The sequence below is a fragment of the Homo sapiens genome, chromosome 19, assembly GCF_000001405.40.
Source record: "Homo sapiens chromosome 19, GRCh38.p14 Primary Assembly".
Lineage (NCBI taxonomy): Eukaryota > Metazoa > Chordata > Mammalia > Primates > Hominidae > Homo > Homo sapiens.
In genome coordinates, this window is record NC_000019.10 from 46,107,970 (window position 1) to 46,131,713 (window position 23,744).

The window sequence follows — 23,744 nt, forward strand, 5'->3', positions numbered from 1 at the left end:
CTCCAGCCACCTCTTTGAGAGGAAATTGTTGGGCAGGTGGCGGAGGGCTAGTTGCGGTACAAAACTGTAAGCCAGACCAGGTGTGAGGAGGGGAGGTGATAGAAGGATTATAGGGTGGGGGAGTGGAGGCCGAGGAAGAATTGGGACCTGGCTCAGCCTGGCGAGGAGCAGCCTGGGGAGGAGGGGAGAGGTCAGATGAGTCTGTAGTAAAGGAGGATTCAAAGGACTCAGAGCTTGGGGTGGAGACTGAAGGAACAGTCAGGAGAGAAAGAAGGATTTGGGATGGGTCGCATTGTGAGCAGAGACTAGGGAGGAACCGAGGTGTAAAAGAATGCCTGGACATCAGGCATCTCAGACCGTTTGCCCATTTTTTGACAAAAATTATCTAGGTCTTGTAGAATGGAGAAATCAAAAGTGCCATTTTCTGGCCATTTAGAGCCATTATCAAGTTTGTATTGACACCAAGTAATGTTGCAGAAGAAAATAAAATGCTTAGGTTTTAGGTCAGGTGAGAGTTGAAGAGGTTTTAAGTTCTTAAGAACACAGGCTAAGGGAGAAGAAGGAGGAATGGAGGGTGGAAGGTTGCCCATAGTGAAGGAGGCAAGCCCAGAGAAAAGAGAGGGTAGAGACATGGAGGAGGAGGGAGTGGTACTTGCCACCCAGGGGAGGTGGTGCTTGCCACCCAGGGGAGGTGGTACTTGCCACCAAGGTGAAGGATCAAGGCAGGCATCCCCGCAGTGATCAGACATCCCTGAAATGTGGGTGAATAATCAGGCAGGCATCCCCACAGTGATTAAACACCAACGGAAGACTGTCTGGAGTGACCAGCGCTGGAGTTTTGAGTTTATGGATAAAACACGTCTCTTCTGTCTCTACCAGAAAGGGAAAGGAACCAAAATTAAGGAAGGGAGAGATTGAAGGGTGGAGCAACAGCAAGAGAGGTTGGAGAAGAGAGTGAAAAGACCGCTTACCTGATTTGAAATTGGTGAGATGTTCCTTGGGCTGGTTGGTCTGAGGACCCAAGATGGTAGGTGGATCTCCTCATGGAGTGAGGGTGAGGACAGGGGACTGGTCTCCCGAAGGAGTCCCCCTCCCCCGGGTCTTTGGCACCAAATGTCACGTGTGTCTGTATGAAGAGACCACCAAACAGGCTTTGTGTGAGCAATAAAGCTTTTTAATCACCTGGGTACAGGTGGGCTGAGCCCAAAAAGAGAGTCAGCAAAGGGTGGTGGGATTATCATTAGTTCTTATAGGTTTGGAATAGGCAATGGAGTTAGGAGCAATGTTTTGTGGGCAGGGGGTGGATCTTACCAAGTACATTCTCAAGGATGGGGAGAATATTACAAAGTACTTTTTTTTTTTTTTGACGGAGTCTTGCTCCGTTGCCCAGGCTGGAGTGCAGTGGCGCAATCTTGGCTCACTGCAAGCTCCACCTCCCAGGTTGACGCCATTCTTCTGCCTCAGCCTCCCGAGTAGCTGGGACTACAGGTGCCCGCCACCACACCCAGCTAATTTTTTTTGTATTTTTAGTAGAGATGGGGTTTCACCATGTTAGCCAGGATGGTCTCAATCTCCTGACCTCGTGATCCACCCACCTCGGCCTCCCAAAGTGCTGGGATTACAGGCGTGAGACACCGCGCCCGGCCCAAAGTACCTTCTTAAGGGTGGGGGAGAATATTACAAAGTACCTTGTTAAGGGTAGGGGAGGATATTACAAATTACCTTCTCAAGGGTGGGGAGGGTGTATCATACAAAGTACATTCACAAGGGTGGGGGAATATCACAAAGTAGTTATCACAAGGGTGGGGAGGGTGTATTGTCAGAAAGTCAATTGATCAGTTAGGGTGGGGCAGGAACAAATCACAATGGTGGAATGTCATCAGTTAAGGCAGGAACTGGCTATTTTCACTTCTTTTGTGGATCTTTAGTTGCTTCAGGCCATCTGGATGTATACATGCGGGTCACAGGGGATATGATGGCTTAGCTTGGACTCAGAGGCCTGACACTAATAACTGTAAGTTTCTGTTTTTCGTCTGAGCTGCATAACAAAGGTCACAAGACATGTTCGAGTAAGCCTAGATTGTAGCCCTCCAGGCACCACAGCAAAGGACATAAGTTTGGACAAGATTCCTTTGAGCATAAGCTAGATAACAGCCATCGGGGCCACATAGCAAGAGACACACGTAAACCTGAGTTATGAACCTGTCACTGTTTGATAAACTGCCTTTGTTCTGCTTCTGTACATTCACTTTTCATGCCACTCAGAAGAAGGTGTATAAGCAAGACCCTGTCTTTGTTCAGGGCGCAGTTTTTGGATGTTAAGTCTGCTGGGTCTGAGTGTACTCAATAAAGATGCTCCTGTATTTCACCCTCAGGTCTCTCTGGTCCTCCTGATTCCTGCAACAACACAATCACTCACTGCCTTTTTTGGCTGAGGATGGGGGCTCCCCTTGTCCCCTGTGGCTCTCCAGTGTTGGTTTTATGATACATCAAAAACTAATATTATACTTTCATATTCTCATTGCTTGTTTCATATCAGTGGCAGCAATTTTTCCAAATAATTTAGTATACAATTAAAGTGGCAATGTAGAGTTTACTTAATGGACTTGTTATAATTAGGAACCAGTTTTATACACAGAGAATCCATAAAAATACAACTTTTTTGCTATTTTATCCTTTGGCTATGCAAAAAGTTGTTCAATGTTTACTGTAGGTGTTTGTTTTAAGCATGCAATACAGTTTATAGTGGAGATACCTTCTGACAAGAAGTAAACACCCAGAAGTGATTTTTGTCTTCATTAGAACTCATTACTATTTGTCTGTTTTCCAAGATGATACGATACATCATGATCTTATATTTTAAAATTCTGTTTCTATATGTAATTTAAATAAGTTATTTTACTTATACAATTAATGTTTCATTCTGTATTTAAATTTCCTGTAAGAAATATTCCTTGATTTAATAATGAGGAGCTTTGTTATTTTTTTAAAATATGGTGACATGTTTCTTTATAATTATGTACAATTTTTTTTACTTCTAGCAACATAAATACTGAGTCATTTATTCTTTATTGCTCATACCCCAGGGTAGTTGTTGAGTTATCTTACATGATGTAAGTACCGTCTTTTGCAGTACTTTATACTCTTCGTTTGTTTTGTTATAGCCAGAACATTATAAAATCCAGTTCTTAGATCAGACATATGTTGAAAGTAACCCTTTTTCCACTTGAATTGTTAAATTGTTTAATCTAGCATCTTTACTCCTACAACTTGCAGTACCATTCTTTGTTCCAGCACATTGGATGTCACCTCTATATCAGTTGGTCCTGTCCCAATAGTGGCAGAATGATATCAAAAAGTGAAGGTCTCAGTGTAATATGAAGCCTCAGTTTTTAAAATAAGTATGTATATCTGTTGGATATTCTGGTGGTAGTCTCAAAAGGATGACCTGATAAACTGACAGGCATCTTTAATTAATGGGACAACACTGAGAGGTATTCATATGGCAATAAAAAGAGAATAGAAGAGTTAAGCAATAAGCCACCCACACCGCTCTGTGAGCATAATGGATATGATCACACCCACATTGCCAAGTGTGTCTGCCAAAACATATGGAAATACATCTTTCTTCTAGCACTCATGCCTCATTAATGGCTGTAACTGTTTCACAGTCATGGTGTCCACGTATATGATACTAATGGCTATGATTAGATGAGTCACATCTTCATTGAGTAGCTCAATAGGTATTGTTATGGGCATAGATACCAATCAGGTTTACTACCAGCCCCGTAGCTGAGACTGGTGTTAATATGTGTATCTAGTCCTAGAGGATCAATTGAACCACTGACTAACACAAAAACAAGTTTTGCCATTAGAAAAATCTATTAATAGAAACCCAAACCTCACCATTATGAAGTATATCCATGTAACAACCTGTAAATGTACACCCCGAGTCTGTACAAATAAAAAAGATTACATTATGATGAAATGGTGAAACAGAAAGCTTTGTTACATGGAACTTTTCCTGTTGCATTCAAAACTGCTTCATTAAATAGTCCTGCAGAATAGACTCTACGACTTTCAAAGCTAGGAGAAATTGGAGTGACCAGTTTATTCCTTTTATGAAGAATTATCCCTGAGATGCCGAACATCTGTGTGTCAGAAGCTCCCAGCTAACTTTCAAAAGGCAGTTTAATTTCCAATAATAGTAATTCAACAAAACTGAGAGTTTAAATTAGGCAATTTAACTAATAGGCAAGTATTCTTTGTTGTGCTTCACATTTATTTTGGAGGTCCAAGATCTGCAATTATGACAAAAACCACCACCACCACCTGAGGGTACATTCTGTTTGGCCTTAAATAATTATAGTGGCCCCCACCCCATGTCAGAAATTGGTTTCAGAGTGGACTAGTGACCCTGTTTTTCCAATGAGAAAGGAAAAAAGCTGTGGGGCTTCTAGGAAGGTCCCTCCTTCCTAAGAAAAAGACTGAGAATCTCTTTGGATCTCTGGACATTGCTGTGTTTGGATGTGATACCAGAACTGTTCCATCCATGTGCCAGGAGCCTGGAGGCGAAACCAGTACAGTCAGGACCACAAAGCATAGATGAACACAAGCTGGGACCTTGAGGACATGGATGAGTGGCTGAATCAAACAGCCCTAAAACTTGTTTGACCTTAGAACTTTCAAATATGTTAGAGAATAGATTTTCTAATAGCTTAAGCCTGCAGAGGAGGAGTGGGAGTAGACAGCTTGTCGCTGTGATGGCTGCCAGTGGCTGAAAGTGATTTGGAAGAATCATCACATTCTGGATGTAATGTAATGTTTTGGTTTGGTTTTTACAAATCTGCTATCAAATTGATGATGTGGCTCATACTTGGTAATGGTGTCAAGGAAATACAGTACATTAGAGCTGCTGCTCAGAGTGGAAAGGTGCATGTTAGGAAAGAGGTCAATTCCTTCAAAACACTTGTAAGTTTGTTTTAATACCAATTGAAATACAAATGGAATTTTCTTGGAGAAAAGAAAAAGTCTATTAATAAATTGAGAGAGAATTTCTATTTGGGTGCACCCATAGGAGAAAAATCCCATTGCATTCCATCTTTTCATCAGGGCAGCAATAAATATCATGACTAAAACACATCTGTCATAGAGTGTGTGAAATACATCTGAGATGAGACCCAGACTGCTGGTCAACACATCATAGAATGATTCTACAGAGGCAAAAAGCGTTCCGTCCTCTCTTAGAGGGAGATGAAAAGACGTTGGTAGACAAAATGAAGACCTAGTACTCACTATCACTCCTCCAGACAGGATGTGTTCTGCACTTTCCTGGTATGCCATTTTGTTCATAGCCTGAAGTCAGACTGTTGTTGGATGTATTCAGAAATTTCCAAAGCACTAATAAAAACAGGAAAGGATCAATCATGGGGACATTTGGAAACTTCCATTTTGACTGAACAAATGGAATCCACGTAGATATCCAGGATTACGACAAAGAAGATAAGCATTGTGGAAGCCATAAAGGGAGAAATCCAAGATTTATCTTTAACCTCAGTTGTCACAGGAAAGACAATGACCCATGGGCACAAGAGAAGCAGGAAATAAGATGGGATAAAGCTTGAAGACTTTTGGCTCCACTGATGTCTATAGAGAGCTTTCTGGGAGCTGTATGAAAACCAGCTTTACACCACAAAGCCAAGACTAGCAATAATATTCCATGCTTGTTATCTGCCATGTCTAAGAAGGCAATGGTTGTGTAAAGCATGTAAGTTAGAGCCCTGAACTACCCTAATTAAATGGGGTGTTCAGCCGTTTTAGCCTTGAGATCATCACTGTCAAAAAACAGCAATAAATAGATGACAGCAATAATGAAGAAAGCAGTCCCCTGTATTGAAGTTCTGCTCTGTGTTACAAAAAGAGCTTGGTTTATGGCTGTATTTCTTAGAGATGAGAGACAAAATATACAGACAATGGCCAGACCACATATAAAAACAGAACTCTGACCCATAACCTACAGCAGCCTGCCTAGGAAATCAACCCACTTTTCTACAATAAACAGCCCAGGAAGCCACTTGCTGTAAGTCACACTTGTAGGAAGTCAGACTTTCTCTGGTAACAATCCAGGAAACTAAACAGTAACTCCAGTAACAGTCAGCTCCAAATGGCCAGGACTTTATTAATAACTGACAACTTCCCAAATTTTTGTTCCTGTTTCTAACTTAGGAGCAACGTAGGAAAGCCAAATACGTACCCTAAACCAATCCCATAGGATGCTGTGCATCTAGTTAGCTATCCTCAGCTTCCCCATGCCAACAGCCTCCAATCAGGGAACATGCGAAAAAAAGGGTGATACCTTTTCCACTATAAAGCTTTCCTACTCCTCTGCTGGTCTTTGAGTCTCTCCCAAAATGGAAGTGATGGTGGCTGACTTCTTTGTTGTAGAATAGATAGCCTTTACTTTCTTATTTGGTTAGTCTTTGTTTTCACAGAAGTTATTGGCGAACTCCATTTATTAAAGTCATGGGTGCTGATATGGTTTGGCTCTGTGTCCCCACCCAAATCTTACCTTGAATTACCCCACATGTTAGGGAGGGACATGGTGGGAGGTGATTGGATCATGGGGGCAGTTTCCCTCATTCTTTTCTCGTGATAGTGAGTGAGTTCTCCTGAGATCTGATGGTTAAAAAGTGTGGCACTTTCTCCTTCTCTCTCTCCTGCCACCATGTAAGATACGCCTTGGTTCCCCTTTGCCTTCTGCCATGATTTTAAATTTCCAGAGACCTTCCCAGCCAAGCGGAACTGTGAGCCAATTAAACCACTTTTCTTTATAAATTACCCAGTCTCAGGCAGCTCTTCATAGCAGTGTGAAAATTGACTAATACAGGTGCTTTTTGAAAATGCAGTTTCCTGGACTCCCCACAGGTTTACAGAATCAGAATCTCTGGGAGTAAGGCCCAGAAATTTGCATTTTCATCCATAGCCCTAGTGGCTCTCATGCATACTAATATTGAGGACCAGTGTCCTAGAATATTTGGTGATTATCTTTCTCTGGCATTTGTATCACACCTATGTTCATCCATAGCCCTAGTGACTCTTGTGCATGCTAATATTGAGGACCAGTGTCCTAGAATATTTGGTGATTATCTTTCTCTGGTTTTCGTATCACAACTATGTTATGTGTATGAAATACCTAACTATCCCCACTTGTGTGTTTCAAAAGGTCCTTTTGCCTACAGGAGCAGGCTAAATCTCATGACATTCCCCACACTCAATCCTCACCCAGAATTCCTGAGCTCTGGGGAAGGTGCCATCTCCAGCCTGGTTTGCAAGCCAGAAACACAGGCTCTCTCTTACAGGGAAAATGAAAATACATTTTAAAAATGTGAATAACCCCCAAAATATCAGGTAAGGCACATAAAACAAAAATAAGGCGGCGTCAGTAGAAAACACAAGACAAAATGAAATGCAGCGAATCACTGGAAATGTTGAGGGAAGTAGCAGTTCTGGGTCAGGGGAGGCAGAAACAGCTACAGCTTGGGAGCTGTGGCCAGTGTGTTCTCTGAGAGGTAGCTATGCAGACCCAAGCTAACAGCCAACCCCAGAAACCTCAGCCTGATTCAGATTCACCTCAGGGTGAATCTGGTGACTCAGCCTGAGTGGGAGCAGTTTCACTACCCGACTCTCTGTGTAATTTAATCTTGTGTTTGCAGCCAATACCTAGCCAATACAGAAAATTAATGTATGGGAGGAGGCCAGCTGCTCTTGACATGGAAAGTTCAGATTATTTTCAAGCTTCAAGAAGGGAACCAGCGACAGGGATAAATGAATGAGTAGAGCCACTTACCAGCAAAAAGCGTTGGAATTTTTTCTATACCACTCCAGCCCCTCATTGCAGGGCTGCTGTAGAGAACTGATGTCCCCAGTTCTGCCCATCTCAGGTATACTCCAGGAGGCTCGCCGGCTGACAGCTTCCTTGCTCTGCCGCCTGTGTGAAGGGGCTGCCACTCTCTGTTCTCAGGTCTTGGTGACTGATGATGGGTCCATTTTTCCTTTTGTTGATGTTATAAGTGGGACTGTTAATTCTATTTTTGGATTGTTCATTTCCCAATCTTTTTTTTTATTATTATACTTTAAGTTCTAGGGTACATGTGCACAACATGCAGGTTTGTTACATATGTATACATGTGCCATGTTGGTGTGCTGCACCCATTAACTCGTAATTTACATTAGGTATATCTCCTCATTTCCCAGTCTTTTAAGACATACCAAATAATTTTCTCTGTGAGTGTGAGCTTACAGAAAAGAGCTCTCGTTGTCTTTCTGGCAGCAACACCGTTGATAATGCATTGCTGGCAATATCTACTTGTGGTTTTCTGTAAAAATGCTGTGAGTTTAAGGACATTTACCTAATAGTCTGACTGGGAAATCCTAGATTTTAGTAATTAAAAAAATACATTGCTTTGCCTCTAGCAAATAAGAACAATGTCTCTTTGCTGATTCAGATATATTGAATCTTTCCAAAGCATTTGCTTTAGTTAAAGCAATTTTTGATTAGTATTATTCTAATTAGAACAATTTTTAAATTTTTACAGATGAGGTTTCACTCTGTTGCACAGGCTAGTCTCGAAATTCTGGCCCCAAGGAATCCTCCTACCTCAGCCTCCTGGGTTGTGGGGATTACATGTGCTTGCTACTGAAGCGGGCCAATTAGTATTTTTTTAATGGACAAGTTATAATTGTGTGCATTTATTTGATACAATGTGATGTTCTAATTCATGTAACGGAGTTCTGGGAAAGTCATACCAACCTACAGTGGTACCTTTGTGGAAAGATTAAATCAAGCTAATTAACATACCCATTACCTTGCTTATTATTTTTAGTTTTAATAGAGCCAGTAAATCTTTTCACACTCGAATTTAACTTATATTAAATTATTTATATTGTACAACTTACACAAGTTAAATTAATTAACTTGTTTATCTTATATTAAATTAGGCAATTATAATAACTAGTAAAAATTTTATATACTGGTTTGGCATAAACTTAATTGATTGGAGTAAAAGTAGGCAAGGATTTGATTCTAAAATGAAGCCTTAAAATCTTGAGCTTTATTTTGACTATTTTTTTCTCATTATGTAAGGTACTTTATTATTTATTTTTAAAATAATTTTAAGCTTTAATTGAGCTAAGCCTATTCAGTAAGTTTTTCAGTATACCTAGAGAATAAAGGTTAATTGAGGCTGCAGTTAGGAAGATTTCTCTCTTTTTAAATTTTTATATTTTGTAGATATTTTGTAGGTATGAGGTGTCACTATGTTGCCCAGGCTGGTCTTGAACTCCTGGCCTCAAGTGATCATTTTACTTCTGCCTCTCAAAGTGCTAGGATTACAGGTGTGAGTCATTGCACCAGGCCAAGAAGAATTCTCTTAAAAGTCAATTTTTTTTTCTGATTGAATTGGTGGTTTCCAGTCCCTTCTTTTTTGTTGTTTTTTGTTTGTTTGTTTGCTTGCTTGCTTGATTTTTTTAGAGACAGAATTTGTGCTGTCACCCAGGCTAAAGTGCAGTGGTATAATCATAGCTCACTGCAGCCTCAAACTCCTGGGCCCAAGGGATCCTCCCACGTCAGCCTCTCAAGTAGCTGGGACTACATGCATGTGCCATCAAGCCTGGCTAATTTTTTTGTATTTTTAGTAGAGACGGGGTTTCACCATGTTGGCCAGGATGGCCTCGATCTCTTGACCTCGTGATCCACCCACCTTAGCCTCCCAAAGTGGTGGGATTACAGGTGTGAGCCACCGCGCCCGGACTACCATCTGTTCATTTTTAAAATGAATCTTGCTTGGGACTACAGGCCCCAGAATGGAGATAGCACTTCTTCCTGCAGGAACCAGGGACCACCTCACTCTCTTGACACTACAGAGCCTGCCTTCCTTAGCCCCTGCTTGTTAGGTGCTCCTAAATGCAACCTTTGTGGCCATACTTAGCATGCAGTGTCCTCCCTCAGGCTGTGAGCATACGTGGGGCTAATAATCTACTGTTGATTTTATCCACCCAGAATTAACGTCCTGTGTTTTGCCATCCCCACAGCCCTAGGGTGGGCATCCTTTTCTTATAAACAAGGTAAACAGGAGGCAATTAAAACAATAAAAAATTTTAAAGAGAAGTTTAGTGTTCATAAATGTCTTTAACATTAAACCACCGATAGTCTAGAGGCAGCCTTTCAAACTTCTATAAATTGGAATAGACTTTGGAGATGAATCATAACGGCTGAATAGATGCAGGTATGTTTGTCTCCCCCACAGAGAAAACCAGAATAGCAAGTAGATACTCACATTTCAAACAAATGGTCTAGGAGAGAATGCTGAGGTTCACCAGAGAAGAGATGGGAAGCACCAGAAGTAAGAAAAGGGTTTGAGGCAGCTTGCCCACCTGGGATTGACTGAGCTGGGAGAGGCTCCTGGAATGTGTGGGGAAGCAGTAAGAGAGAAAGCCCCTGGGCTCCACACTCCTAGACAGGCTTTTATAATCTTGGCTGTGGGAGAAACCCCGGACTCATTAGGGCCTCCGGCCTGACATATGAAGCTGCCCAAAGATGTTGCTCCAGAAAGGGAACCCCCACACACTCCCACAGGCATCTGAACCCTGGGCAGCCTCAGATGGGCACCATTTTGAGAGCCCAGACATCAGGTATCTACAGACAGCTGCTGCCACTTTACTGCTGCAAGGAGGCAGAGGGGAGACCAGGCACTCCCATGCACCCCTGGGAGAGTTACTGCCTCCCTGCTGAAGGCTGAAGTTGAGACTTACACGTGAGCAGACTGCATTCCCCATAGCTTCTTGCCCATGCTGCTTGCCTGCGAGGGACCTCAGCCTCTCTGGTTGCAGGCCCAAGGTGCAGTTTCCATAGTTTAAGTTCAGGCTGTGCCCTGCCCTTGGCCTCAGTTTGAGTTGACATGGCTGCAGCTGTGGCCCGGTTTAGGAGGGACAGGGAGTCCAGACTCCCTTATACATACTCAAGATAATACTCAACACCCTGCTATGGGATGATGCTTTTCTGGGAGGGATCTCTGTTTTGTCTGGTCACAAGCCCACAGCTGGCACCATTTTGAGAGTTTAACACTTGGCTGTGCCCCGCCCTCCAGGTGAGTTTGAGGTGATGAGTTCCACACCCTGCTGGGAGAGGAACAGGGTAGACTAAGCTCTCTTACCAAACAGGGTAGTCCAAGCTCTCCAGGGTACACCACACTTAGGACAGTGACCACTGCAGTACTACAAGTGACTGTGGGACTGGGGACAAGCCTGCCAACTGATCGCATCTTCTTGTAACACCAACATGGAGGGCTTGGGTCCCAGTGAGCTGTTCTACCACTGCTACTGCTATCTCCCATGCCACACCAGCTGCCCAGAGGTCTGAGAACCTGCCCACACACAGGGATCATCGTTCCCACTGCAAGCTTCTAAGCCAGACATCTGGAGGCCCAAGAATCAGCCCCTAGAACCTACTGACTGGAGCCAGGGTATGCTGCTCTGGGGCCTAAAAACAGTCATTCTCATCCCACTGCTGCTACTACTGGGGCCAAAGACTGGCTTAGTTGACGTCCAAGTTCCCAGTTAAACTTTACTACAACCTCAACTAATAGCTGTAGCTTAAGCCACTGAGGAAATCACAGATACCACTGACCCTGAATACTGCCAAAGAAGTCATGCAAAGACCACTCTACTGCAGGTCAATTGGGATAATTTCCCTAACCCCTTCACAAGACTTGTGACAGAGGTGCCTCACTCGCTCAGCCTGTAGTGCTCAATTGCTCACCAGTGGGTGGGGTGGGGTGGGGGTGCAGCTTGCCGGCAAGGGGATGCAGGAGCCCGGGTAGGTGTGTTTTGGGCACTGGCAGGAGCACAACTGTGTACTGGCCCTGCAGCAGCATCTGGGGGATGCCCACAACTCATGAAGCCTCAGAGGGAGTGTTACAGTCAGTGCTCTTTTGGCTCTGCCATCCATGAATGGCTTAGGTGTTGAACAGCTCGGTGTGACAGCCCTCTGTATCCTGAGCTCCTGCTCAGTGTCCAGGAAGAATCAGGTTGCATGAACGAATTGAAGATGGTAAATGTGGGGGATTTTATTGCCGATGAAAGTGGCTCTCAGCGGGAAGGGGAGCTGGAAAGGGGATGAAGCAGGAAGGCATTCTTCCCCTGAAGTCTGGCCATCCCCAGCTGGGCTCCTCTCCAAAGCTATGTCATTGAGCCATCCCTCTGAAGTCAAGTTGCTTCTCTCCGAAGTTCAACTGTAGTCTCCGATGTCCAGCTGCTTCGTCTCTTCTCCCCTTGTCTGCCGTCTGCCAGTGGAGCCTGGGGTTTTTATGGGTACAGGACGTGCCTCCTGTTCCTATCACAGTGCCCCAAATCAAAGTGTCTTAACAACATATATTCTCAGGAAAAAATTATCCCCTACAAAAGCAATTTTAACAAACTTGACTTTAACAGACTTGACTGCTACACCAGATGTGTAGATATCAACAGAAGGACACAGTCACCATGAAAAAGCAGGAAGATAGGACACCACATGAAAGATCATAACAATTTTCCAGCAACAGATCCCAATAACAAAGAATTCCTCAAAATGCCAGATAAAGAATTAAAAATATTGATCTTAAAGAAAATGCAATGCAATAGAAATCTGAAAACCAATACAGAGATATCAGAAATTCAGTTTGGGATATGAATGAGAAATTTACCAAGGAGATACAGATATTATAAACTTCTATAATTTGGTTATTGCATAGCATGATGCATATAGTAAAAAAATGTATATTTCAAAACTATTAAGAGAGTAAATTTCAAGTGTTCTTACCACAGAAAAATGAGAAATATTGAAGGTAATAGATATGTTAATTTCCTTGAGTTTAATTATTCCACATTGAATTCATCAGTCATGCTGTACCCCATAAATACAACTATAATTTGTCAATTTAAATTAAAAAATTAAAAAATAAACTTAAGAAGCCTTAGGTTTATTTTTAATTCATATCCAACTTGTAGCCCTTTTTAAAATAATTTATTTGCATTTCAAGATACATATTTGATGGAACATGTACATTTTTCAGCGCTTAGAAAGTTCCAGGCACCACTATAGTGGTGGCTCACTCCTATAGTCCCAGCACTTTGGGAGGTCAAGGCAGGCAAATTGCTTGAGCTCAGGGGTTTGAATCCAATCTGGGTAACATAATGAAAACCTGTCTCTACCAAAAAAAAACCAAAAAACCAAAGTTAGCCAGATGTGGTGGCATGTGCATGTAGTCCCAGCTACTCAGGAGACCGAGGTAGGACGATCACTTGAGCCCAGGAGGTTGAGGCTGCAGCTGCAGTGAACTGAGATCATGCCACTGCACTCCAGCCTGGGTGACAAAGTGAGATCCTGTCTTGAAAAAAAAAAAAAAAGAAGAAGAAAAGAAAATTTCTAAGATTTTCCTCCCATCCTACTTACTCCAACACTCATAGCCTGAGCATCTTCCCAAGATGCATCTCAACAGCCCACTGAGAGGAGTAGTATTTTCTCTCAGCTGTGGAGAAAGAAAAATTGAGGAATTATGAGACAAAGACAAGAAGAGAGGAAAGATGTCAGAATTAGCCAGAGATAAAACAACGGTGTCGCACGTGACGACTATCTGAGGTTAGTGTCACGTGAGTAGTAAAAAGAATTCACCAAGACAGTTGTAAAGAAAGGCAGATTTTTTAGAAAATGTAGGTAAAGAAAGGCAGATTTTTTAGAAAACGTAGAAAAATTGTTGCAAGAAAGCAAAGGCAAAACAGCAAGTGCGGAGCTGACTGCAAAGAGACAAAGGCTTGCTGGGGATTTTATAGGTTGGTGCTTGTGCTGGAGAGAGCTACTTAGAGTACTGATAATGGTAAGGTTGCAGTGAGCTGATTTGCATATTTCTTTTTTAATGAAATTTAACTTGGCTTTTACTGCATTTTTAAAATGTAAAAATGTAAAAACAAACACAACATAGTATTTCAATGCTGTACCTTTATGCAAATGACTTCATCTATCTTTTTAAAACATGCTGTGATATAGCTAATGTTAAAACTGACACAGCTTCACTTTCTTCTTTTTCTCTGTACTGAAAGCTGCAGAAATACACCTTTAATTCCAAGACAATTTGGTTGAAGCCCTCAAAATAAAAAGTGTACATCCACTTCCATTGCCCTGACTTTCCCCACATTGTTGATTGTGATTCTCTGTGCCATGTTGGTAGATCAGGCAGGCTATATATAATTTGCACAAAACATCTTTAGCCAGGGTAAGGTTTTAGAAACTATCTTAAAAAGAAACTTGTCAAAATATTTTTGATATTTAGGACAAATACTAAATATTATAATTTTCTCCCAGCACATCTGTTTACACAGCCTAGTTAGCTAGCTGACCCTGTTAAAGATCAGCTTATGGAACAAATAGGTGAAGTCATTTCCTGAGCCAAAAGATACAGATAATAAATGTTAATAATAGCAGCAGACTAAAAACATTCCTTTTTGTTGTTTGTTTTCCATAGTCAACAGTTTTAGCACAAGGACTTTAGAAAATGACAGATTTTTTTGGTAAAGTTTACTGCCTGAAAAGAGTTTAATAAAGAACATCCAAGGCCTGATTGCTGTTATTCTGAATATAACTTTTAATTACTTTCTGTAAGTTACATTCGGTTACTGTCAGACAACTTACTGTTGCATGGAAAAATGCCCCAAAAAACTGCAATGGTTTACATACATTTTACATTACACGTATTACCTCTTAAAACCCCCAACAGAATAAAGTCTTAGCAAACACAAATTTTAATTTCTGAACACCCTTCCAGTAAGATTGTAAAGGTGGGAGGAAGGGGAGGAAGGACTTGTTTTTTGTATTCCTAGTCTACTTGATTAAAATGTAATCTTCCAAGGGTTTGTTTAGCTCACTATCCAGACTGCTAGGGTTATGATGAACATTATTACTTCTTTCCAGGGTAAAAAAAATGACATTTGAAAATAATGTAAATGCTATGACATGATTTTCCCAAGCATGACCTCAACTTGAAACATTAGATTACTTAAGAATTCTAAAGATTGGTATACCACCACTGCACCAGAATTTTTAATTATTCCAACAGCTACAGGAATTTTTTAATAGTTTTTTTAATTTTATGAACTTAAAGCTGAAGAAAATAACCGATTTAGAAACCATAATAAAAGGACAGATATTTAGCCAGAGATATCAGTTCCTCCTGAAAAAGGATACTGACCTCCTCTCACTGCAGTTTTTCTCCAGGTATCTTACTGATTTCAGATAGAATTTAAAATTCATCTTAAAAATAGAAACAAAAGGACTACTTAAACTGACATTAACTAATAAAAATATGCTCAAATTTACTGACAGAATCATGGACACTTCATACAATACTTAGACTCTACCAGTTTTAAGTAAAGTAAGGAAAAAATTATAATTACAAAGCCAGTCTTTCCCCTTGGGGAAACAAAAAAGCCACTTTTGACCAATTGTTCCCTGCATATACATATACTGTATATTATTATAAGCTTCTTCAGAGAAGCAAAACATCTTTGTCTTCCTGACACTGGATTATTTAGCATGTTTTTTTACATCAGGAAGGCAACTGCACTGCTTGCATTTTTCTACCAGCTGAGTGTCTGGTGATAGCTGGGTGCAAGAAGATTGTGAGTTATTTATGCAGGAGGACTGTTTGTCCTCGACCATGAAGAAAGGCAGACTTATAGCTTATCTGCTTCTTCTTTTTGCTTTCCCCTGCTGCCACCAGCCTGACTCTTTTGCCGTTAGAACTCCACAAACAGGAGTTCCTCTTCAAGCCCTCTGTATCCCTCATCCCTCCCTCATTCCTTTAGTTAAGAGCAAGGTAGGGACCTTTACCTGGTACAGCTCCGGGAGATGGGAGATAAGTGACACTGAGACTTCATACCCAGAACCCTCAACTTCACAAGAAACTTCTGCTGGGGGCCAAAAGACTCGGGACAGCAGAGCTCAAAGCAGGGCCAGAAGGTGCAGGTGGAGCCACAGCGGCGGGTCTCCTTTAAGGATAAGATGGCATCATCATAACAGCACTGCTCTGAAGGGTTGTAGATCTTGTTCCCACACCTGGGTGTCGGCTGGCACAGCCACAGTCCTGAGCCAACAGGAGCGTCTGGGGGCAGACATTGATGGTGTACATCCAAGGAAGAACAGATACTCAATTCCCAGTCTCTTTTCCCAACACCACCTCTTCCCTCCTCATTTTTCCCTGTCCTGTCCTTACCTGTAGTTCCTTTTGAACACTGGAGGAGGAAGACTGTTATCCAGCAGACAAGAGCTAAGGGAGAAAGGAAAAAGGTTGAACATGGAGCTGAGAATGTGACAAGTATGGAAAAAACAAACAAACAAACAAACAGAGGTTAGGGTGGTTTAAAGGTGGAGATTATCACTTGGGGCTAAGTCTGTATGGGATCCCGTTCAGGCAGGCCCTGAGCAGCACGCTCAGTCACCCTTTGAGGTGACTAGTAGGGCACAGGAGGCTGGAATAATGTTAGAGATAAAGAGGAATAAATCGGGTTGAGGTTTGGGAGCTGCACTGGGAATGAGATGAGATGATGTTTGGATTTGGGGTCCTACTTGCCCAAGATGCAGCATCGTGGCCTCATGCTTCCAAAGATGCTCTAGGAGAATTGAAGAAGAGTGGTAAAAGGCTGGAACTTATGGAGACAGCCTAAATGGGGTTGTCTGTTAACCTGGTAAGTTTACTGATTGGATGGCTGCTGATCATGCCACCTGCAGTCTCCCAAGCACATTCCTTGAAGATAACCAAAGTCTCCCAAGCACATTCATTAGTTTCTTTAAGGAGGAGACTGGGTGGCGTAAGGGACCACAGAGCCGAATGTTGCAGACTGACTCATTGCATTCTCCATATACTATTGCAGACCTCAGGGTGAATGAGTGTAGGTTGGTCCTACTCCAAGTTAGGCTTCTAAGAGTTTTCAAGCTCCGACATTGAGGAGACAGTGCCCAACTAAGCTCCAATCAGAGAGAATGCTTCAGCCACTTCCCCATCTGGTTTCACATCCTCCCCTTCCTAATACTTGCTTCTTCTATATTCCCCAAGCACGATGTCTCTGGAAATGTCAAGGGGACCGTTTATGAAGCCACTTTATTTTTTGCTCTGGAGTCATTAGAGTTGCCACCTGCTCTAGCAGTTGAGCCACGGCTCTGGAAACTCCAATAAAGGGGGTAGGGGTGGAGAATAGCAATGGCCCAAATCTCCTGGTGTGCTTGGTGTGAGGATTCAGAGACCTCCAGCATCTTAGTTACATGGTCAGGGAAAGTACTAAACACCTGCTTTTCATAATCATATTATATTAGTGGCCAATGATAAGTGATGTAGTACTTAGGAGTGTGTAGTACTTAGGTGTGCAGACAGAGGGAAGGGCAGGGCAAACTGAGGCCTGCCAGGCAAGTGCCAGCTAGGGAAGGGCTTGGACAAATTCAAATAATCCCGAAGCTGTGGAAAGGACCTCAGTCTTCATGGATGTGTGATGATTCAATCAGAAAATGTCTAAGGATTGGCCAGACTTTCCATCCTCCACTTGCTGGCACAGCATAGGGAAGAGTTGCTGACTTAAGTTCATCCAGCCTGTACCATAGCCTTTGAAATGGTTCTCCTTTTCTGAGCTTCATTCTTAGCTTCCTGTACATGTGCGGAGGTGTGGGGTGTGGTTTGGATGCACAAGGCTGCTCTCCCCTACCCCGGAACCTAAGAAGGCCAACAATGTGAAGATTCCTAGTGAGCCCAGGCTGTCAGCTTGTTTACTACCAAATGTTAAAAAGAAACGTTTGAGTTTGATTAGGTAAAATACAAAGGACAAATAATAATATCTTTAATATACAATTATCATTCTTATTCCAAATGAAACTTCAGCTTTACTATTGGGCATTGGGAAGTTAATGTGTACTTAATTTTTCATCTTACAGAAGTGGCAAGGGGCAGCTTGAAGGGATAATTTTTAATGCATTTTATAATGATAATCATTTAGAGAAATCCTTATGTTGTATCTCATTAACACTAAGATGTTATTGAAAGATACACTGTTGTTTTGCAACTCTAAGATGCAATCTCATCACTTAGAATGTTTATTAACAGAGCTTCTTGCAACATGTTGAGACGTAGACTTTTGGAAGGCGAATAGAAAAATAAAAATATATGGGAAATAAATCTGTTAAAGATTTCTTAAAATGTCTCCACATTTGGAGACTGCCTCCTGTGAATCATCTTTCAACCCCAGATTGGTTCCTGTGCTTTCTTACACAACATCATTCTCAGTTCTACCAACAGCATTGGTCATGCAAAGTTTGGTTTTATTCTAAGCTGCTGACACCCATACTGCAAGTTATCATTGAACTGGTGACACTAGCCCCTTCTTTCTTTGAATTTTCTTTCATCTATTCCTAGAGATTTTGACAACTCCTTCTGCCTTTCATTATGTTGTTTTCCTTGTGCTAGGCAATCCTTCTGTGCCTGTCTCAGAAACAAAATGTGATACTCTTCATCTCTTTATCTTCTTGTGCCCCATAAAGCACTTGGTTGTTGATCTGCAAGAAAATATGTACTTGGGTTCATTCCTAAAACAATGAGCATGTGCTTCATTAACAGTAAATTTACGTCATCGTCTTCTATTAATGTGTCATTCTGCACACACAACACACAAGCCAAATCATGGTGTTTTCTGATATTTAAAATGACAGTTACACTCAACACATGAAACATAAGCAATCCACACAACTTAATTGAAGTGTCAAGAATATTAACCTGAAGACTTAGTTCGTCCCTGTACAACTGGCAGCAGCTATGTCACTCTGCTTGTCTGATAGCTATTGCAAGACCCTATTGATGATACGATGCATCACTAGTTCAAGGGTATGGGAATGTAGAATATATATGTACATCTCTGAGTGGAGGAGAGTCATTCCAATTTGAAACTTAGTATATTTATGAGGATCAGATGAAGACACACTTGAAAAGCTCCCAGCACAGTAGCTGGAGTGTGTCAAGCTTTTCGTATTTTCTCTCCTCAACTGTGCTTTCTTAAGAAAGCTGCAAAATAGTCTGGGCACAGTGGCTGACACCTGTAATCCTGGCACTTTGGGAGGCTGAGGTGGGAGAACAGCTTAAAGCCAGGAGTTCAAGACCAGCCTGGGCAACAAAGCGAGACCCTGTCTGTACCAGAAAACAAAAATAAAATTAGTTGGGCATGGTGGTACATGCCTGCAGTCCCAGCTACTCGGAAGGCTGTGGTGAGCTGTGATGGCACCACTGTAATCCAGCCTGGGTGACTGAGTGAGATGCTGTTGCAAAGAAAGAAGAAGGAAGGAAGGAGAGAAAGAGAATAAGAAAGAAAGAACAAAATATACACATCTTGTTCCATGAACTATTGACAATTTAGGTCATAGGCAATCATTCTTAGTCTAAATTTTCTTGAAGGAAGAAATAACTTTCTGTCTGGCACTAAGTTTCAACATAATTTAGGTCCCGGACAATTTTTGCTGATTTAATGAAAATTATCAATCCTCCCAGAAAATTGTTCTTAAACGGATGTATAGGTAGATAGGTAAGATGTATAGGTAGGTAGGTAGGTGGGTAGATAGGTAGGTAGGTAGATAGATAGATGATGGATGGATGGGTGGTTGGATATTAGATAGATGTTAGATTGATAGACAACAGACAGACTGCATGCAATTTCTTTTTTTTTAGAGTCACTAATTTTACTTTTTTAAAATGTTAAAAAATCTACTTTTAATTTTTTCGTAAGTTATTGGGGTACAGGTGGTATTTGGTTACTTGAGCAAAGGAGCCACTGGCCACAGAAGTTTCTGGTTGGTGAAGCGACACCCCAAGGATCCCATAACACTTTGGGAAGTATGGCCATTTTTAACAATATTGATTCTTCCTATCCATGAGCATGGAATGTTTTCCCACTTTTTTGTGTCATCTCTGATTTGTTTGAGCATTATTTTGTAGTTCTCCTTGTAGAGATCTTTCACCTCCCTGGTTAGCTATATTCCTAGGTATTTTACTCTTTTTGTGGCAATTGTGAATGGGAATTGCAGTCCTGATTTGGCTTTACTGTTGTTGGTGTATGGGAATGCTAGTGATTTTTGTACATTGTACAAAAAATGTACATTTGTACATTGATTTTATATCCTGCAACTTCGCTGAAGTTGCTTATCAGCTGAAGGAGCTTTTGTGGAGACTGTAGGGTTTTCTAGATACAGGATCATGTCATCTGCAAACAGGGATAGTTTGATGTACTCTCTTTTTATTTAGATGCCCTTTATTTCTTTCTCTTGCTTGATTGCTCTGGCCAGGACTTCCTATACTATGTTGAATAGGAGCAGTGAAAGAGGGCATCCTTATCTTGTACCAGTTTTCAAGGTGAATTCTTCCAGCTTTTGCCCATTCTGTATAATGTTGGCTGTGAGTTTGTCACAGATGGCTCTTGTTATTTTGAAGTATATTTCTTCAATACCTAGTTTATTGAGAGTTTTTAACATGAAGAGGTGTTGAATTTTTCTCAAAAGCCTTTTCTGCATCTACTGAGATAATTATGTGGTTTTTGTCTTTAGTTCTGTTTCTGCAATGAATCACATTTATTGATTTGCATATGTTGAACCAACCTTGCATCCCAGGAATAAAGCCTGCTTGATCATGGTGGATTAGCTTTTCATGTGCTGCTGGATTCAGTTTGCCGGGATTTCTTGAGGATTTTTTGCATTGATGTTCATCAAGGATATTGGCCTGAAGCTTTCTTTTCTTGTTGTGTGTCTGCCAGGTTTTGATATCAGGATGATGCTGGCCTCATAGAATAAGTTAGGGAGGAGTCCCTCCTTCTCAATTTTTTGGAATACTTTCAGTAGGAATGGTACCAGCTCTTCTTTGTACATCTGGTAGAATTCAACTGTGAATCCATCTGGTCTTGGAAATTTTTTGGTTGGTAGGCTATTTATTGCTGATTCAATTTCAGAACTTGTTATTGGTCTATTCAGGGACCGAATCTCTTCCTGGTCCAATCTTGGGAGTGTATATGTCCAAAAATATATCAGTTTCTTGTAGATTTTCTGGTTTATGTGCATAGAGGTGTTGATAATATTCTCTGATGGTTATTATTTCTGTGGGGTTAGTGATAATATCCCCCTTTACATTTCTAATGGTATTTATTCGGATCTTCCCTCTTCTTTTTTAATCTAGCTAGTGTTCTATCTATTTTATTAATTTTTTTCAAAAAACCAACTCTTGGATTTGTTGATCTTTTGTGTGTGTGTGTGTGTGTGTGTGTGTGTGTGTGTGTGTGTGTGTCTCTGTCTCCTTCAGTTCAGTTTTGATTTTGATTATTTCTTGTCTTCTGCCGGCTTTGGGGTTTGTTTGCTCTGGGTTCTCTAGTTCTTTTAGTTGTGATGTTAGGTTGTGAAGCTGAGTTCTGACTCTCTGAAGTGGGCAATTAGTACTATAAATTTCCCTCTTACTCCTGCCTTAGCTGTGTTCCAGAGATTCTGGTATATTGTATCTTTGTTCTCATTGGTTTCAAATAGCTTCTTGATTTCTGCCTCAATTTCATTATTTACCCCAAAGTCATTCAGGGGCAGGTTATTCAATTTCCATGTAATTGTATGGTTTTGAGCAAATTCCTTAGTCTTGATTTCTAATTTGATTGTGCTATGGTCTGAGAGAGTGGTTGTTATGATTTCGGTTCTTTTGTGTTTGCTGAGGAGTGTTTCGTGTCTGATTATGTGGTCGATTTTTCAATGTGTGCCATGTGGTGGTGAGAAGAATGTATATTCTATTGCTTTTGTGTGGAGAGTTCTGCAGATGTCTATCAGGCCCATTTGATCCAGTGCTGAGTTCAGGTCCTGAATATCTTTGTTAATTTTCTGACCTGATGATCTGTCTAATACTGTCAGTGAGGTATTGAAGTTTCCCACTATTATTGTATGGATGTCTAGATCTCTTTGAAGGTCTCAAAGAGCTTGCTCTCTGAATCTGGGTGCTCTTGTGTTGGGTGCATATGTATTTAGGATAGTTAGGCCTTCTTGTTGAATTGAACCCTTTACTATTACATAATACCCTTCTTTGTCTTTTTTTATCTTTGTTGGTTTAAAGTCATCTGAGATTAGGATTGCAACTCCTGCTTTTTTCTGTTTTCCATTTGCTTGGTAGATTTTCCTCCATCCCTTTATTTTGAGCCTGTGGGTGTAATTGCATGTGAGATGGACTGCATGCAGTTTCAAGGGTTCAGGTTCACTGTTTATTTAAACCAAATACTACAGGGTATGATCTCCTGAACTAAGTGGGTGAAGTACACGTTTCCTATGAAACAGCCTTTTTCATTATCTCACAGGGCAATAACTTCTTTAGAGTTTTGATAAATATTTTAGTTCCCCCAGCAAGCATCAGATGATGAGTTAAAGAACATACCATGTTATTTAAAATATGGCATTTGTTTGTCTACATGCTGTTTATTGAGGTTCTTGGAAGCACCTTTTCATTATGTTTATAAACTGGTTACTTGCAAGTGGTTGCTTGCCAGTTTAAACTAGCTTAAGCTGTGGCAAAAAGAGGAATTTATTATCTTTGGTAGGTTCCAAATTAAAAAATAAAGTGAGCAAGAACTAAGATTAGAAGAAATTTATGAGCTTGGATGAAGGTTCCCAGTATTTCTCATTATTTTTATGTTTAATGATGTATAGTTCCTTTTCTGTAAATGATACACTATTCAGAATAATTGTTTTGGGTTGTTTGCTTCCTTCTTATTAATTTATAAATGCTCTTTTTATATGGGAGATACTAACCTTTTGTCTGTTATATGTTTTCCTCGCCTTTGTGTTTGTTTCTCAGTAATGCTGGTGGAGTCTTCTTTTTTGAGATATTTTAAATTTTTATGCAGCAGTGTCTTTTACCACTGCCCTACATCTTCTTTCCACTTTTTGGCTTCCGCTTACGTAAGGAGGCCATCTCCAACTTAAAGTTCTATGAATAGTTCTATATTTTTACTTTCTTTTTAGTCATTTTTATTCACATATAACTTTTTCTATAAGATGTGATGCTGAGTCTAAGTTAATTTTCTTGCTAATGAATGTCCTATTGAATCTGAAATTACTTGTTGACTAGTTTCATCCCTTTTCTTCTAATGTACAATGTTACTTTTCTTATATCTCAGTTTTCCATTATTAGCTTTATCTGTTGATGGACTCTGTTCAATTGATTTATGTGTAATTTTTCTAGGTAGTGTCTGGTTCATTTACAGTAGCTTTGTTTTAAATTTTAATAATAGACAAAAACTTCTCTCCTTATTACACTACATTAAGCTTTACTCGACAATATTTGTGCAGTCAGCTTTAAGAGCTCCCAAGTAATTTTCTAAACCCTCCTCCTAAAAAATAGCAAAATTTAAAAATGGGAATTCAGATGAAATTTTTTTGTAAACATTGTTTGGCTTTGGAAAGCATGAGCATTCTAATGTTTTAATACTTTCTGTCTCAGAGGTTTATCGACTTCTTTTTTTATTAGGTCTAGTTTGCTGTCAACACCCATTTAATTTTACGTAAACATGCTCTTCGAGGCTGAAGCGAATATGACTGATTTTCAGTGTGAAAATAAAACATAAAAACCCCTTCTTGGCTCATGCCTGTAATCGCAGCACTTTGGGTGGCTGAAGCAGGC

The 23,744-nt window shown here is 40.8% G+C and overlaps 2 protein-coding genes and 1 pseudogene across 24 annotated transcripts in view; 1 reads left to right on the top strand and 2 right to left on the bottom strand.

Moving 5' to 3' along the window:
• Window positions 1–23,744, top strand: part of IGFL2 (IGF like family member 2) — a 136,850-nt gene that overhangs the window by 29,457 nt on the left and 83,649 nt on the right. The gene's annotated exons all lie outside the window — the stretch shown is intronic.
• Window positions 5,236–5,889, bottom strand: LOC100533846 (solute carrier family 30 member 5 pseudogene; annotated as a pseudogene).
• Window positions 12,098–16,719, bottom strand: IGFL3 (IGF like family member 3). 2 transcript variants are annotated; one of them, XM_011526953.3, is made up of 4 exons: window positions 16,656–16,719; window positions 16,299–16,352; window positions 15,917–16,187; window positions 12,098–12,351 (listed from the first exon to the last, which is right to left on the bottom strand). In XM_011526953.3, the coding sequence occupies exons 1-4, from the start codon at window positions 16,678–16,680 to the stop codon at window positions 12,240–12,242; spliced, it is 462 nt and encodes a 153-aa protein (XP_011525255.1). In that variant the 5' UTR covers window positions 16,681–16,719; the 3' UTR covers window positions 12,098–12,239. The 2 variants fall into 2 exon arrangements, with proteins under 2 accessions (XP_011525255.1, NP_997276.1); NM_207393.2 differs by having other exon boundaries at window positions 12,098–12,388.

Bases quoted from the DNA above. Each gene is read 5' to 3' on its own strand.
- IGFL3 (XM_011526953.3), bottom strand. From the start codon at position 16,680: ATGAGGCCACGATGCTGCATCTTGG. The intron at 16,188-16,298 runs GTAAGGACAGGA...GTCTGCCCCCAG, and splicing joins GTGTTCAAAAGGAACTACAG to ACGCTCCTGTTGGCTCAGGA. The intron at 12,352-15,916 runs GTAAAGGTCCCT...TAAAAACCCCAG, and splicing joins ATCTCCCGGAGCTGTACCAG to GCTCCACTGGCAGACGGCAG.